Below are 15,873 nucleotides of genomic sequence, written 5' to 3' on the forward strand. Positions count from 1 at the left end.
TTAGTCTATAATCTGTGGTTATAAAGGACAAAAATCCACCCCAAACTGATTCTTAAAACCAGGAAGTTTGTGAGGACTAGCTTTAAGCACAGCTGGATCCAGGGCCTCAAATAATGTTGTTAGGACACTGCCCCATTTTCCAGATTGCTTACCTCATGCTGGCTTAATTCTTAGGCCACCCGGCTCCTGTGAGATTGCAGAGCTGCCATCCATTCTGCTTGCTTTCTGCCAAGTTTGCCCCTCTCACAGAAAGAGATATTTCCTAGTTCAGCAAAAAGCACAGGAGAGACTGAGTGGCCAGCTCTAGGTCCCACGCCTATCCCTGGAGCTGGGACCAGAGTTCCTACTGTCTAAACATTAGGGACTGAGAAGGGGAGAGAGGCGATCCTAAAGGGAAAGAGACCCTGTGCCAGTGGAGTGCTAGGTCTCCATAACAATGGGGATGCATAGTTCTTGCATGGGTTTCCAAATCTCTCAGAGGAGGAGAATTTCTCATACATCACACAGCCCAGCAGATCCACCAGTCTTCATTTCAAACCAAGCATTCTGCTATTTTTCTTGCTCAGGAAACTGTTGATAAAAACTGTCCCATTTAGTTGAAACACTGCAAAAGTTATACAGAAAAATAAACAAATTGAGACTCGGGCCAGTTGTGGGATGGAGGAACATCAAAGCTTGGCCAGTCACCAAGCTCATTTTCCACTGCGGGGTGGTTTCATGTCCACTAACCAGTCTGCAGATCTGGAGCTGCAGTTTAGGCTTGATTGGTTGTAGAAGCCGAAACTAGCTCAAGGTGGCTCTAGTAAAAGGATTTGTTGGGAGCAGCAGAGCTGTGCCTGGGCTGGGCATGCTAAGCCCAAGTTGGAGCAGGTGGCTCTCCATACCAGACAGCCACAGTGATGTCCCTGCTAGGCCTTCCACCTGCCTCAGCCACGTTACCTGCCCACCCACCTGCCCCTCTGCCCCTCGACCAGCCCACTCACGCCTGTACTGTCCTCTGATGGCTGGCCGTACATGGGGTCTCTGTCACACCCTTAGCCTCAGTGCCCAGCTCACTGGCCCTGTTTCCCAGTGAATTGCTTGCAAGAGCCTCAGGGGAGCCCTGTTGGCCCTGCTCACAGAGGTCACATGACATTGGTCAGTTTCTGACTAGAGCACTCTTGGGACAGATCTCCGTGTGGTCCCCATAGTTGTGACTGATTGAAGGCAGTGGGCTATAGGTAGGACAGAATACTTTGGGAAGGGATGCAGGCAGGGACAGTCTTTGTTCCCTGGCTTTGGCAGTGATCCTGAAAACTTTTCAGATACTTGACCTCATAGATGGAGACTCTGGCTGCCTGGGCTGGACACGTACATATGTAGCTCAAGTATTCATATGTTAGTATTATAGTAGATAATAATTTTTATTATAAGTATTTATATTTATCATGAAGTACATTTTCTTATCCCAATTTTGGAAAATAACATAGAAAGAAGAAAATAAAAGTTACCCTTTAATCTCACCTCTGTAGATGCTAGTGATGAGAGCTGATAGCTTTTGCTTTGTGTGTCACCATTCTAAGGGCCTTCTATGCATACTTGTTGATCCTTACAGCAATAGGGCGAGATAGGATGGAGAGTAATGTAATCCTCATCCCTCACTGTGGGACAGAGGTAAGGTCTGTGGTGGTAGTGGTGGGGAGGGATGAAGGGACACCTAGCCTACATGGGGCTGCCATAAAGCCCTGGTTCAGTGTCACCCAAGGGTCCACCATGTGCTCACTGGTGGACATCCCAGGGTGAAATGGGGTTGGGTAGTAGTGGTGTCCTGTTCATTCACCTTAGGCTGCCATAGCAGAACCAAAGACAGGAAAGACAGGATCCTGCCTCCCTCAATCTCCCAGCAGAAGGGCTTAAGGACCCGTGACCCTTTAATGTGTTCACGTGCACCTTGGCCATTGGTTTGGCTCTCAGGACCCTAGGCCTAGACCCTCTGGGCCTGCTCCCTTCCCCAGGGCCTGCCTGAACATGTTCAAATTAATTTGACATGTTTGAATTAAAGGAATACACGAGCACCTGGGGCATAGCACCAGCCCCCCCTGGTCCCCCACTGCCCATGTATATAACTTGCCTTGGCTGTGGTCTTCTTTTCCACACTTGCTGTGATTATTGTCCTGGGGACAGTCCTCAGGGGAAACCTCAGCATCATGGGGAGTAGGGAGGTGTGAGTCATGAGAAAGAGTCAAATATTAATTAGGGAACATCTTCTATATTTCAGGGTTTGTGCCTGGAACTATGCGAACATTTTTCCACTTGGCTGCACAACTCTTTCAGGTACATTTCATCATCCTAGCTTTATAGAAGAGGAAACAGGCTCAGGGGGTTAAGGGGTTTGCTCAAGGCCACACAGCAGGTCAGTGGAGAGTGTGTGTTGGAATCCAAGTAAATGGGTAAAGACCAAGAGACCACAGTGGATACATGTTTCTTTTCTTGGTTTTTCAAGTCCCCTTTTAAGGGGCTTTTTAACTAGCAGTGAGAGTACACAGAGGTGCTCTCCAAAGGGTTATACTCTTTGTGATTTAAGTAAGTGAAGTGAATAAGGGGAAAAATGAAAGAAAAAAGAGACAAACCACAACAAGTTTCATGTATAGGCCTCTTCAGTTGGCTCTGGCCCCTTCACAGACATAGACTGTAAGAACTACTCCGGAAACAGCTGGTAACAGGACACCGTACTTTCAGCCTTTCTTTCTTCATTGTTGCCAGAAAATAATCAGCTCTATATCTTAAGTGCTTGATAGAGTGGCCAGACACCAGCTGTAACTTAAAACAATTTTTGTCTTAGTTGCTTTAAGCAAACAGATGCGGCTAGCTTTCTGGGCCAAGCGCAGTGTCCATGTCTTAGAGTGGACTACTCAAGCTGCTCAACCGTCTTGATTTATGTTTAATTCTTGCTTTAGATGTGTCCATTCAGACATTCCTTTGGTATGTTTCCAGAGGCTTGGGTTTGGGGTTTGAAGGAGTGATTCCGGACTGGCCGTTGGTTTGCTTGTTCATTGTTTCGGCACTTAAGTGTGCTGCGTGTGTCAGGAGCAGGGACTCAGCCCTCCTGGAGCTGACGGGCTAGTAAAGAAGCTGGACAAGCAAGTGAATAAGAACAGAGCCTCCCCTACCCCAAAGGCAACCATTTGCAACTCTTAGCTTATTATTTTTATATAATCTTTACACCATGTTTATTGTGCTACTTTTTGTTTGGCTTTAGACATTATCTGTAGACTTCCTGCTAAGGAACATAAGAATTCTTCTCTTTCTTATGTCCTCCTTCAGTTAGGCATTCCCTCAGAACTTTCAGCACATGGTGGGGCACTGTGCTCTGTACATAATGTCCAGCGCCTGCCGTCAGGAAGCTCACGGTGCAGTGGGGAGATGGACCTTGGAAGAGACCACGAGAGGAGGCTATGCCGAGGCCTGAGCAGAGGAGTGGACGTTCTGTGCTGGATGCCTCTGCTCGGACTTTGCCTCCCTCTATGGCTGAGCGGACTCATTCAGGCAGTGTGCTTTGGTGCAGTGGTACCATTTCCCCAGTGCTATCCTGGCCCCAGCCACCTCATCTCCCATTGGAGTGATGGCAGCAACTGCCCTCTGGCCTCCCTGTTGCCATTCTGTCCTTTGATATACATTGTCCACACAGCACAGAGTGACCTTTTGAAACATCCATCAGGGTTATATCACTCCCCCACTTGAAAAACTGCCCTTGGCCTTCTGTTAACAGTAAAATACAATCCTGACTCCATACTGCAGCCTTCAAGGCTCCTGGTGACCCAGCCCACTCCTGTCACCCCCATTTGGCTTGCTGTCTGCAGCCACTTGGGTCTTCCTTCTCCCCCTCAGACCTGCTCCTCACTTGGGCCTTCTCCTTGCTGTTTCCCCATCCCTTTTATCTTCCAAGGGAACCTTCTTGACTACCCTTTTTAGAATAATATCCTCATCACCTCCCACCACTTTATCCCATAATCCTGTTTTATTTTCTGTGCAGCTTTTATCTCTCTGTACAAGCTATGCAGAAAATATTTATTCATTATTTGTATCTCACACTAGAATGTAAACTCCATGAGGACAGGGACCTTATTTGTTTTGTTAAATGGCTGCATTCCCTTAGCATAGTGCTTGGCATGTAATAGACACTAGAAAAAAAAAAAAGAAAAAAACTCTTGGCTAAATGAATATCGAAAGAGTGCCCATCTAGTGTGTCCCTGGGACCCAGTGCTACCCTACTGTTTGAAGTCATTAGTGAAAAAAATTATCCCTTTTATACTTAGAGCTGTGTCCAAGGAATACAGTATTGTTCCTAAATATCATGCATGAGCAGAAAGAATGAATAGCAGTAATAAAAATGGTAAACTCTTTGCATTTGCGGTGGCAGCTCTGTTCTCTGCACTTTAATACAGTAACAGATATTTCTGACCACAACTCCATGTGGTAGCACTACAAATCTAGTCCTAGTTATAGGATTACAACTCCTGGAGATGAGGGAACTGAAGGACAGAGAGAGTGAGTAACTTAACAAAGTCATTAGCTTTATAAGTGGTGGAGCAGAGACTTGAACCCAGTCATTCTGGCTCCAGAGTCTGTGCTCCCAAGCAAAGGTGCCTGAGTTCCTTTCAGGAAATATCTTTGGAGTTAAATGAATTGAACACTTTGCTTCTCTAGAGGTGGAACCAGGAATAATCTCAATTACTCCCACTCTTGAGTGCTCCGTCATGGTGTTTATGTGGCTGTTCATTGTGGACAGTGCCATCACTGATACCAAAGCCCCAGCACACGTAGAGACCATAAGGTGTCTTTACTGTCAAATGATGGGGCTTCACAGAGAGAGTCACAGGAAACAAGAGACAACAACAACATACTCTCAGAGGTGCGGCTGGCCTGCTTCCCCCCATTCCCTGGTGAAGTATGGCTATGGATGCTACCCGCCATGCAGTCTGAGGATTCCTCCACATGCAAGAAGCCTCCTGTGCCAGTCCCATAGAGATGTTATGCCCTTCTGCTCCCCACTTCTAACTCACTGTTCTAAGGCCCTGACTATGTGCCTGCCTGAGGGAACCAGTACAGAATGATGCCAGCCTGTCCCTGAATGTGTGCTGTCAGATCAGGCGAGAAAGGGCCAACCTCCCGGGAGTATCCTGCAACAGACCCGGCTTCAAGCCTGTGTTTCCTCTTCAGTGCTGTATGTGCATTGCTGCCAGTTCTTATGCTATCCCTGTGGCTGGGCGGTGGGACAGATGAGTAGCCCCAGATGGCACAGCTGGCAGTGCCAGGGTTCAAGTCCAAGTCTTTTTGATATGGAGTCTACAACACAACTCTGTTTATATTTCTCTGTTCACCAAAGTGAATTCTCGTTACTCTCAGTACATTTGGTTTCCATCAGTGTTTTGAGTGCTGAAAATAACATGATAGTGCATGTCCCTCACAGGAGAACTTCAGAAACATCACAGGTGTGCCACACTTGCACCTTGCAATTTACCATGTTTTTTCAGACTTCCAGTTAACATGGTGGGCCATGCTGCTGCTGGAAGCCTTGTGTCCCAAACACATTGAAATGCTGGATAAAGTGAGGAAACACTAAGAGAAGAAAAAATATGCAGCCAGGTGGAGAAGCAAGAAAGGAGCATCTTCAAGAGCTAGACTAGAAAAGGAGGTCAAATTCTCAGCAGGGAATATGAATGGAAGCCAGTTAGTTCCAGGGGTATACAGATTGGAGATGTGAGGTTCACCTGGTAAATTAAGAAAAAAGACAAGAAGTTGCCTGTAACTGGTGGAGATTAAATTGCTTGCTTTGCGAGGTGAGCTGAGAAAGTTTCCTTCACCCAGGAGAGGACAGAATTCCTGAGATTGCATGGATTCAGATGCAGGCCTCATATCTTCATCACTGGTGCTAATGGAAATCCTCAGCCAAGAAATTAACATAGAAACTGGTGACTCCTTATGGCCCTGGGCTGCCGTAGCCCCTGATCTCCCTATGGGGGTGCCTTTACAGTTGCACACATGTGCAAGCCCCCACAGAAAACAACGTTTGCTGAAGAGGAGTTTACAGACAAAATTACATGGCATACAGGAAAAATTACCACCATGAGAAAGAGAATCTATGGATTCTCAAGTGGGAAAACTCAGATCCTGGAAACTAGAAACCATAAAACAATCTGAAAGAGAATTTAAAATAAGAATATTTGAAATGTAAATAAAGGAATAGAAATTATAGCAAGATTAGGACATTATGAAAAAAGGGTAGATAAATTTGAAAACAAACCAAAAAGAAATTCTAAGTATTAAAAATGTATTAAAAATGCAGTCATTGCCATGTGCTTTCAGATTAATTATCTTATTAATGCTTCATGGAAGTTAGGGTAGGTAGTTTTATTCTTCGTGTGTTTTTTCAAAGTTTTTTTTTTTTTTTTTTTTTTTTTTGAGACAGAATCTCACTCTGTCACCCAGGCTGGAGTGCAGTGGCACGATCTCAGCTCACTGCAACCTCCCCCTCCGGGGTTCAAGCGATTCTCATGCCCCAGCCTCCCCAGTAGCTGGGATTACAGGTGCACACCACTCCAGCCAGCTAATTTTTGTATATTAGTAGAGATGGGGTTTCGCCATGTTGGCCAGGCTGGCCTCGAACTCCTGACCTCAGATGATCTGCCTGCCTCGGCTTCCCAAAGGGCTGGGATTACAGATGTGAGCCACTGCGCCCAGCTTAAAGTATTTTTTTTTACTATAGAAGTACTCATGTATGTTGAAAATCTGGAAAATAGAGCAAATTATAGGAAAGAAATAAGAATAATTTGTTAACCTGTTACTCGGGTTAACTATTTTGGCATTTTTTTCCTAGTAGGGATTCTACTGGGTATAAAATTTTAGATCCTTATTTAAGCAAAGTTTTGAACCATGAGCCTTCTTCTATACCATAATTAAATTTTCTCTGAAAACATGTTTAATGGCTCTGTATTATTTTATTGTCTTGCTCTACCATACTTTATCTGTCTACTCTTGATGAATGTATGCACTGTGTACAATATTACGCACTTTAACCACAACATGTTGAACATTTGTTTGCATTTCAGATTATTCTTTAGAGCAGATTACCAAAAATGAGATGGCTTGATTTATGGGTGGGGCCTTATATTCTGTAAAGGAAGGAAGGGACAGGAATATATGAACATTTTTTAGCTGTATTATATATCATAAAGAATTTGTCTGGTCTTTGTCCCAGGTTCCTGGAGCTTCTAAAACCCTTGGAATTTCCAGAGTGATAACTGTGTCTCTGTTACTCATGGTGGGCCCTTGGGGCACAGCTGAGTTTATGCTAAGGAGATGACTCAAGATGGGGACTGGTCATGCCTGAAAGACCAACCATGTCATTAGAGGGTTAGGCCTATGGGCCATATGATATCAGGCTGACCTCCTGACCTCTGGGGAGCTGGAAATTTAGTTTAGTCTCATGGCTAGTAATTCAATCAGTCATACCTATGTAATGAAACCCCAGTAAAAACTCTGGACACTGAGGTTCAGGGAGCTTCCTGATTGGTAAACACATTGATATGCCCAGAGGGTGATTTTCCCTGACTGCACAGGGAGAGGGCACCAAAGCTCTGAATCTAGGGCCCTCCCAGGCTTCACCCCATGTGTCTCTTCATTTGGCTGGTCCTGATTCTTACCCTTATAATAAAACTGTAATCCTAAGAATAGTGCTTTCATGAATTCTGTGAGTTGTTCTAGTTAATTATCTAACCTGAGGAGGTCATGGGAACCCCCTGGATTTGCAGCCAGCTGGTCAGAAGTGTGGGTGGCCTAGGGACCCCTGAACTGGTAGCTGGTAGCTGAAGTGAAAGCAGTCTTGCTGGGGACTGTACCCTTAAGCTATGGAGTCTGACCATTGACTTTAGGTGGTTTGTGTCACTATTGAATTATGGTATACAACTTGTGATACATATTTCCAATTGTGTTATAAAGTTTATGTACAAAATTACAAAAGAGTGTACCTTTAAGTAACGTTGACACCACTGGGCTTCAGTATCCTTATGTATGAAATGGGAAATTTAGTGACAACAACACAGAAATGTTGTATGATTGTCTTCGTAAAGTGCCTTGGACCAGCACCTGGTGCATAAAAAGCAGTCATAGGATGTCCATGAGCATGTGCCCATGTGCGTGCATGTTGTGTGAGCACTGCAGGAAAACCAGAAAACAAGCGAAGAAAACAGGAAAAGAAGAAATCATTTGAAATGACATCAAAGATATAAAAACGGGATATTTTGTATTTTGAAAACCTCATTGTTTAAATAGGTTGGCTTATCCCTTTTACATTTATTATTATATATTTGGTCTTTTGTCATCATGTTCCATTTAAAAAAAAAACATTTTCTATTCTTTCCTGCTCTTTTTGTTATTTTCTATGTGATCTTCTGTTTCTCATTCTCTTTTCATTTGTGCAGGTCTACAGTTTTTTTGTTTTTACCTTAGAGCTAAAAATGGTTCTACAAAGGGTTACTTTTAAATCTTCAATGAACCTGCTTAAGCCTGGATTTCCCAAGCTATCACCTTGAGAAATGAAGCACCACTCTGTGACACCTCTCCTCCTGTTTTTGGTAGTTCTGCTTCAGGATTTTTTTTAGTTGGCGTTAGTGAAATAATTTTCATAGAATGTATTTCTTCTTTCAAGAATGATAGTAAATGCAATTGGTGTATAAGAGGCCCATCATTTTAATGGAAGAATAAACGTCACAGTTCTCCAGACTTAATTCTGTATTCAAATGGTTCCTGTGGTCACCCTTGGGTCTTTTCATGCATGCATCCTTATCCCCAGGTTCTCACTTAACATTTATCATGTTCCTATTAGATCTGCCTTCAAGGAGGTTTTATGTGAAAAGTGAAAGGTTTCAAACATACTCAGGACAAAGAGAACAAACATTCATGTACCCATCAGGCAGACTGAACAGTTACTAAGATTTCACCGTGCTTGTTTCATCTCTCTCTCCCCTGCTTTTCTTGCTGAAGTATTTTTAAACAAATTTATGAGATCTTGAGTCATTTTACCCCTGAATACTTATGTATATATCTTTAAAAAATATAGACATTTTCTTGCGTAAATCAATGTCATTAGCACAGCTAATAATAACTATTCTTTGGTATCCAGTACCCTATCTATATTTAGAATTTTCTTGAAAAATGTTCTTCAAATATGGTTCCCTACCTCCTCCCTCCACAAAAGGATATAAGAACATATACATCCCCAAGTCCTTCATGTCGATGAGGAGCCCGAGGCTCAGAGAGGTAGATTGGCTTCCTCAGGTCAGACCCTAGTATTGGGATTTGAATCCACACCCCTCTTAGTGAGCTTTATATTTTATGTACTACACCTGGCTGCCCAGGCATGGTTACCCCGAGTAGGGCGAAGCATGTAACCTCAACCTCAAGTTTCGCCCAAGATGTAGGGGCTGAAGCAGACAGGAAGATGAGCACTGCTCCAGGAAGCCTCCCACCAGTGCAGAAGAGCTCTTTTCTGGAAGACAGGGCTGGATGCCACAGTGAGGCAAGTCCAGCCCCAGCCCTAGGTCAGTGTCTTTTTTTGGTTTTGTGTCTATTCTTAAGGAGGTGTAAAGAGCTCTTTTCTGGAAGACAGGGCTGGATGCCACAGTGAGGCAAGTCCAGCCCCAGCCCTGGGTCAGTGTCTTTTTTTGGTTTTGTGTCTATTCTTAAGGAGGTGCTTCTGGTACACAGGCAGTGCCAAGGCCCCCTACAATGAAGCTACATGGCTACAGGGAGTTCTGAAGGTTATAGAAGACTATACAGCCTTTGGGATCTTAGCTCTGCCATGCACTCGCTGTGTGTTTTGAGCCTGTGACTTGACCTCTCTGACTGAGTTTCCACCTTTGGAAGATGGAATTAGAGTGCTTACTTTGCAGGGTTGTTGTGAAGATAATGTGAATGCAGATGTAAGCATCCCCAGCACCGTGCCTGGCACATAGTAGCTGTTTATAAATGCAAATATAATGTTGTCTTTATCTGCCAGGGAGGAGGACAGAGCACCAGCCACCTCTCCATCTCTACTGCACTGTCCCCTGGCCCCAAGACCTCTTCTGCATCCCCTTCCTCTCTCCTCTGGTCTGGATGGTTAGGCACCCAGGCTTTATGGGGCAGGGCATTGGAGCTGAGAGGACACCAGCTCTGAGCACCTGCAGGTTTTGGAGAGAAGGAAAGGACACTGCCAAGCACTTGCTCAGTGTCCTGTCACTCCTCAGGTGGTCTGGTTTCATGCTGCTTTACAGACCAAAGTGCTGGGCACAGAGGCAGATGTGTCTTATTGTCTTCTCAGAGTGTTACCAATTATTTCTAGTTTCAGTTGAAGAGACTCAGTTCATTGATGCAAGAGATTGACTCTCAGGATATGCCGGAGAACAGAGCCCCAATAAGAATCGGGGCAGGAGCTCAGGGGCTGTGGAAACACTCGTTGCCAGCAAGTGTGCTGAGAACACAAAGGAAATGCTTGTGATCCTTTTAGAGTGACTGGGAGTAAACATTTATTTCACCTTGAAGGAAATGAATGTTTCAGGAAGAGGCCCAGGAGCTTGACGAAGCTAGACAGCCCATGCCGTAAGCCACATAAAGGAGGACATCAGAACCAATTGGGTTAGAGAGGGCCTAATAAATTGTGTCCCTCACAAGGACCCAGCATTTTCTGTTCCTTGGGTGGGCCACATGTGCTCTTGAGAAGATTGGGAACAGCTGTACTGAGTTGTTGCCATTGAGTCATATCTGGTCCAGGGGCCAGCGGTTGGTGCCTCTGGTCATTCCGTCCTTTTCTAACAAAGCTCGAGGTGATCTGGCCATCTCCCCAAAGATCCTGGGGAAGTGCATGCTCAGCATCCTCCGTGCAGCACTGGCAGCTGGGGCTTCCGTAGCCCCCTGCTGTGTCCTGTGCCCTGAATGGCCCCTTCCCTTAGCTTTCCGGCCTGCTCCCTCCCTCCAGTTGCTAAATTCCCCTCTTCTATGCTTGCTTAGCAGAAACTTCTCATTTAACTTTTACATACTTCACTGTGTTGATGTTGTCTGTATGTGTGTGTGTGTTTCCCCCAGAAGACTCTGAAGCTTCTCGAGGGCAGGGACTGGGTTGGATTAATTTCTGAAGTTCAGAACCCAGCCTAGGGACAGCCATACAGAATGTAACAGAAGCAAACTTTTATTTCTGTGCCCAGATATGGTGGTGCACAGAGGGTTGTGTGGTGCACAGAGGGTAGCTGGTTTTGCAGGTACAGTATCAGGCATCTTGAGAAATTAATAGTGGGGAAGGAGAGCCCACTAAGGTGGGAATGCTTGCCTGGGACACCAGCCTGGCCTGCCTGTCGCCTCCACCAGGGGGCCCCCCTGCCCCGGCCCCTCTCGGGCCATTGCATCCTGTCCCTCTGGTTGCTTGCTTGGGGCTTGCAGGACATGGTGGACTCTGCAGGCTGCTTCACAGTGCAGTGTGTTCCTGCTGCTCCTTCTGAAATGTGACCTACCATGCCTTCTTCAGTCCCTCTGTCTCCATCCAGAAAAATGTCTAATTGTATCTTGAATTCATTTACATTGCTTGCTTCAATGGCCTCACTTGGCAGCTGAGCCCATATGCTAATTCCACCCTTTTCATGAAGGAATTCTGCTGATTTTACTTACTTTTTGTGACAGATTCCTCCCCCTACCCCCCCACTCCGTTCTTTTTTTGGTCTCCTGCTCTCCCAGTAAACAATTTCTTAGGTCCACTCTCGCAGGCTCTGTGACCCAGTGCCCTCAGGACACTTCATGGGGTGAAGCTCCTGATGGGTTTGAGTCAGGGCCCTGAGCACTGGCCCAAGCCCTTCCAGCACCTTCAGCTTAGGGTTAGTCAAGAATGTCCTGCCTTGGTTTCTTTGCTTCAGAGGAGGGGCTCTCTGTGGCTTGGGGACCCATTTCTACAAGGGTCTAAGACAACTGTTGTTTTTTGGAACCCATAGTGTAAGAGTTGGTGAGAGCGGCATTAACTCAGGGGCCTTGTGAGGACAGACCCTGCTTCCATGATAGGGGAGGAGGAGTCTGGGTCCGGGGGTGAATTGAGCCCGAGCTCAGTCCCAGTGCTTGCCTTTGCTGCCAGTGGGGCCTTGGATGAGAGTTCCTTGACCTCTCTGAGTCTTACTCTCTTAATCTGTAAAGCGGATATCTGAGGGCCCATCCTCCCCTCATTCAGATTACTGGGGTCTTCTCCAAGTGGATGCAGTCCTTGCAGCCCCTGAGTCCTCTCTCTATTGGCCCTGGGCCACTGGATCTTCACAGCATTTGATTTTCTCTTGGCACAGCCGCTTCAGTTGTTCAACTTTTCTCCCCTTTTTTCTGTTTCTAAACAAGCATACATAACCTTTTTAAGTGTTACTAGGATGCCACCACTGAGGACTAGAGAAGAGTTGATTAATTGTTGCTGGAGGGGGTGTTCTAAGTAATTGAACAGGCCCGGTCATCTCTGACCTCTCAGTGCTTTTCATTCACTTCATACATATTTGTTGAGCACCTATTCTCTGCTGCCATGTGCAAGGGATTCTGTGGGATAAGGTGGCCCAGGTCCCTGTCCCAGTGGGTGAAGCTGCAGAGGAGCTTGGGAGTCACAAACAGCACTATCCTAGGGCAACAGGGATTGTGGGGCTCTGAGGAGGGGCTGTCACCTCCAGATGAGAGGGAGCCTGGAAAATACCTGGGAGGTGACATCTAGCCAAAATTTGAAGGCTGGGTTGCCAGAGAAAGGACAAGGTGGGAAGAATGCTCCAGGCACATGTGCATGGGCCACGGTCCTGGGGTGATAGAGAGCATGGCTGAGTGAGGAGCTGAAGCATGGAGTATGAGGAGATGGGGGTGGTGGGTGTGAGGCTGTCAGGTGGTGCAGGTAGGGGCCCAACCACACTGGCCTTCTTGTTCCTTGCCCAGGGAGGAGGGTCAGGGTTGGGGAGTCGGTCTCTGACCTTGACCTCCTGTGACCCTCACTCTCTTCTCCACAGAGGGCAACATAGCACTACTAGATACCAGGTCCGCGGCCTGAGTGGGGTCTGATCCTGTCCTTGCACTTACCTGACAATTTGGCCTTGGGCAAGCAGGCAATGCAAACTCTCTGTGCCTTGATGTGATCATCTGCAAAATGGGGGTGTTGGTAATAGTACCTGTATCCTAGGACTGAGTTCAATGAGCTGATGTATGCAATGCACTTAGAACGGAGCCTAGTTATAGTGAACACTACATTAAATGTCACCTATAAAAACAGTGCTCATTTCTTGTGGAAAGGGCTTGGTAAGAATAACTTCTGTCCCAGAGGAAATTCCAGCCTGGTGTCTCTGAGGTTTTCCTGCTTCATGATCCAGGGAAATAATTGTCTTAGGTTATTCCTGGGCTTTCTACCTCCTGGGGCTATATTGAGACTCAGTATGAAAACCTATGTTTGAAATTCTAGGGAAAATCCCCACTAGAGAGAAAATAATGTCAGAGACTGTTTGGAGCTTTCACATGCATTAACTCCTTCAGTCCTCCTAACAGTCTATGAAGTAGGCCCTGTTTTTACACAGCATATGTATACTGTGGCTATGATACTAGGTGTGGGGCCTCGGTCCAGAGTGTTGGGGAGCGAGTGTTTGGCAGCCTCTGCACGGCCTTTTCATCAGCTTTGGAAGAAGCCAAGGCTAGAGAGCGAAGTGCTCTCCCCACGTGGCCCCACTGGAGGGGCAAGGGCTGAGTGAGATTCGTCTGCTCTCATTTGGACCCCAGAGAGCCCATTGTCCTTTCCTCCAGGATGACCCTCCTGGCATCCACCTTCCCCACCCCCACCATGGGCAAAACATGTCTCATGGGAGAAAGAAGGAGTGGGCTGTCAAATCTGCCCTACCCCAGGCATAGCGGACTGATTCCTGAGTGCTTTTCTGACTCCAATAGTTACAGGCCTAAAAGGCTAGATGTTTATTCTGTTTCTTCGAACTTTCCTTTCTAGCGAAAACTCCAGAGTTCTCACACTAGGGAGCTACAGGCCAGTCTTGGCCCATGGACATGTTTTGTTTGGGCCATGCTGTTTAAACATTTTTTTCAATTGGTTGTCAACATTTAAACATTGGCGAATTTCATATAATATTCCAGATTTTTGGCATCTCTTAAAAAATCAGAGGATCTGGCAACTTGAGGCCTACATTCCTGTCTGGCCATGGTGTACTGGAGCTGAGGAGAAACGGTCCCCTCCAAATGGGGTGCGGGAGTTTCTGTTCCCTTTGGTCTCACACCTTGACTTATGCCTAGCCCATGTTGCTCATGTGAGGTGCCCACCAGCCCTGGAGGGTTTCCTTTCCTTTCCTTTTCCTTTCCTTTTCCTTTCATTCTCTTTCTTTTATTTTTTCTTTCTTTATCTCTCTTTTTCTTTTCTTTTCTTTTTTCTTTTCCTTTCTTTCCTTTCCTTTTCTTTCTCGCCCGCTTTCTGTCATTCTTTCGTTTTTTCATTCATTCATTCTTTCTCTCCCTCCCTCCCTCCCTTCCTTCCTTTTCTTTATTTTCTTTCGAGACAAGATCGTGCTCTGTGGCCCAGGCTGGAATACAGTGGCACGATCATAGCTCACTGCAACCTTGAACTCCTGGGCTGAAGCCATCCTCTCCTTCAACCTTCAGAGTAGCCAGGACTACAGGCATGTGCCACTGCACCTGGCTAATTTTTGTTTTTTAAATTTGTTTATAAAGTTGGAGGTCTCACTATGTTGCCCAGACTGGTCTCAAACTCTTGGCCTCAAGCCATCCTCCCTCCTCAGCCTCCCAAATTGCTGAGATTACAGGTGTGAGCCACTGTACTTGGCCACTGGAGGCTTTTATATTTGGGACAACTGCTCTCCACTTTCTTTACTTTAGGACAGGCCTTTGTGAATGATAGCATTTGTTAGGGAGAATGGGAACTCAGGCTCAAGAGCACTCATAATGATCACTTTCATGATGAAGCACCTGCTGTCTTCCAGACCCAAGTGAGGTTGGTTAGCAAGTATCCATGAGCCTCACACTGCTCTGTTTATAGTATATGATCCCCATTTTACAGGTAGGAGAGACTGAGGCTCAAATAGGTAAGGGCCTTTAGACAGGTCTCGCTTAGCATGCAGATTGGGAAAGTTGAAGTAGAATCCAGAATGTTCCCTCAAAGTCTGTCTGTCTCCCCACACACCTTGCCCTCACTCTCAAGGTGGCCCATGCATCAGTAGGCATGCCCTGAAATCTAGAGATGGAGGACTCCAGGAAGTTTCCTTCACAGTTTCCCTTGGAGATCACTGGGTGCTCTCCAAGAGAAATCCTCTTTGGTGACCTTCAGGTAGGTGGCCGGTGGAACTAATTTATGTTGCCTCAGATCAGGCAGAGCCAGCATTGGCTCCTGGCTCCACCACATTCTAGCTATAGGACTGCACTGTCCCCCTACTCCTCTCCTCCCCTCCATCCCCTCTCTCCTGTCTTCCCTCGCCTCCTCCCCCTCACTCATTTTAGTGAGCCCTCATTGTGGACTGGGCTCTGTGTCTAACTTTCCAAGCCTCAGATTTCTCATACCTGGATGGGTTGTTGCTTGGCACTGTGGCCAGCCCAATCGAGACCTTGATAATTGGTAGCCATTGTTATGAATGATGAGGCTTTCCACTCATTTTCACAATGGAAATCACATTGACAGGACCCCAGAGTTACAGAATTTTTGTGAAAAATATTGACTTTAAAAAATAGCCTTTTCCCTAAGGCACCTTGTGGGAAGAGCTGAGATGACACTGAATTGCACAGATCTTTGTAACTCTGGCTCTCCCGTCTCATGGATCAGGTACCTTCTTTGTTCTAAGCAGTCTGCTAGGCACATCACAT

The 15,873-nt window shown here is 46.1% G+C and overlaps 1 protein-coding gene across 10 annotated transcripts in view, besides 4 other annotated features; it reads left to right on the top strand.

The window, feature by feature from the left end:
* EEFSEC (eukaryotic elongation factor, selenocysteine-tRNA specific) overlaps positions 1 to 15,873 on the top strand; it is a 272,743-nt gene that overhangs the window by 62,130 nt on the left and 194,740 nt on the right. The gene's annotated exons all lie outside the window — the stretch shown is intronic.
* Positions 2,468 to 2,527: an enhancer, noted in NCBI's record as "active region_20478". NCBI's record gives its function as "activates an Ori minimal core promoter by ATAC-STARR-seq in GM12878 lymphoblastoid cells {active_cell/tissue: GM12878}" and the evidence as "EXISTENCE:reporter gene assay evidence [ECO:0000049][PMID:35858748]".
* Positions 2,558 to 2,607: an enhancer, noted in NCBI's record as "active region_20479". NCBI's record gives its function as "activates an Ori minimal core promoter by ATAC-STARR-seq in GM12878 lymphoblastoid cells {active_cell/tissue: GM12878}" and the evidence as "EXISTENCE:reporter gene assay evidence [ECO:0000049][PMID:35858748]".
* Positions 11,132 to 11,632: an enhancer, noted in NCBI's record as "H3K4me1 hESC enhancer chr3:127945585-127946085 (GRCh37/hg19 assembly coordinates)". NCBI's record gives its function as "activates a minimal SCP1, AML or CMV promoter by ChIP-STARR-seq in primed H9 embryonic stem cells {active_cell/tissue: H9 hESC(primed)}" and the evidence as "EXISTENCE:reporter gene assay evidence [ECO:0000049][PMID:30033119]".
* Positions 11,443 to 11,502: an enhancer, noted in NCBI's record as "active region_20480". NCBI's record gives its function as "activates an Ori minimal core promoter by ATAC-STARR-seq in GM12878 lymphoblastoid cells {active_cell/tissue: GM12878}" and the evidence as "EXISTENCE:reporter gene assay evidence [ECO:0000049][PMID:35858748]".

Source organism: Homo sapiens, chromosome 3, assembly GCF_000001405.40.
Source record: "Homo sapiens chromosome 3, GRCh38.p14 Primary Assembly".
In the NCBI taxonomy this organism is placed as follows: domain Eukaryota; kingdom Metazoa; phylum Chordata; class Mammalia; order Primates; family Hominidae; genus Homo; species Homo sapiens.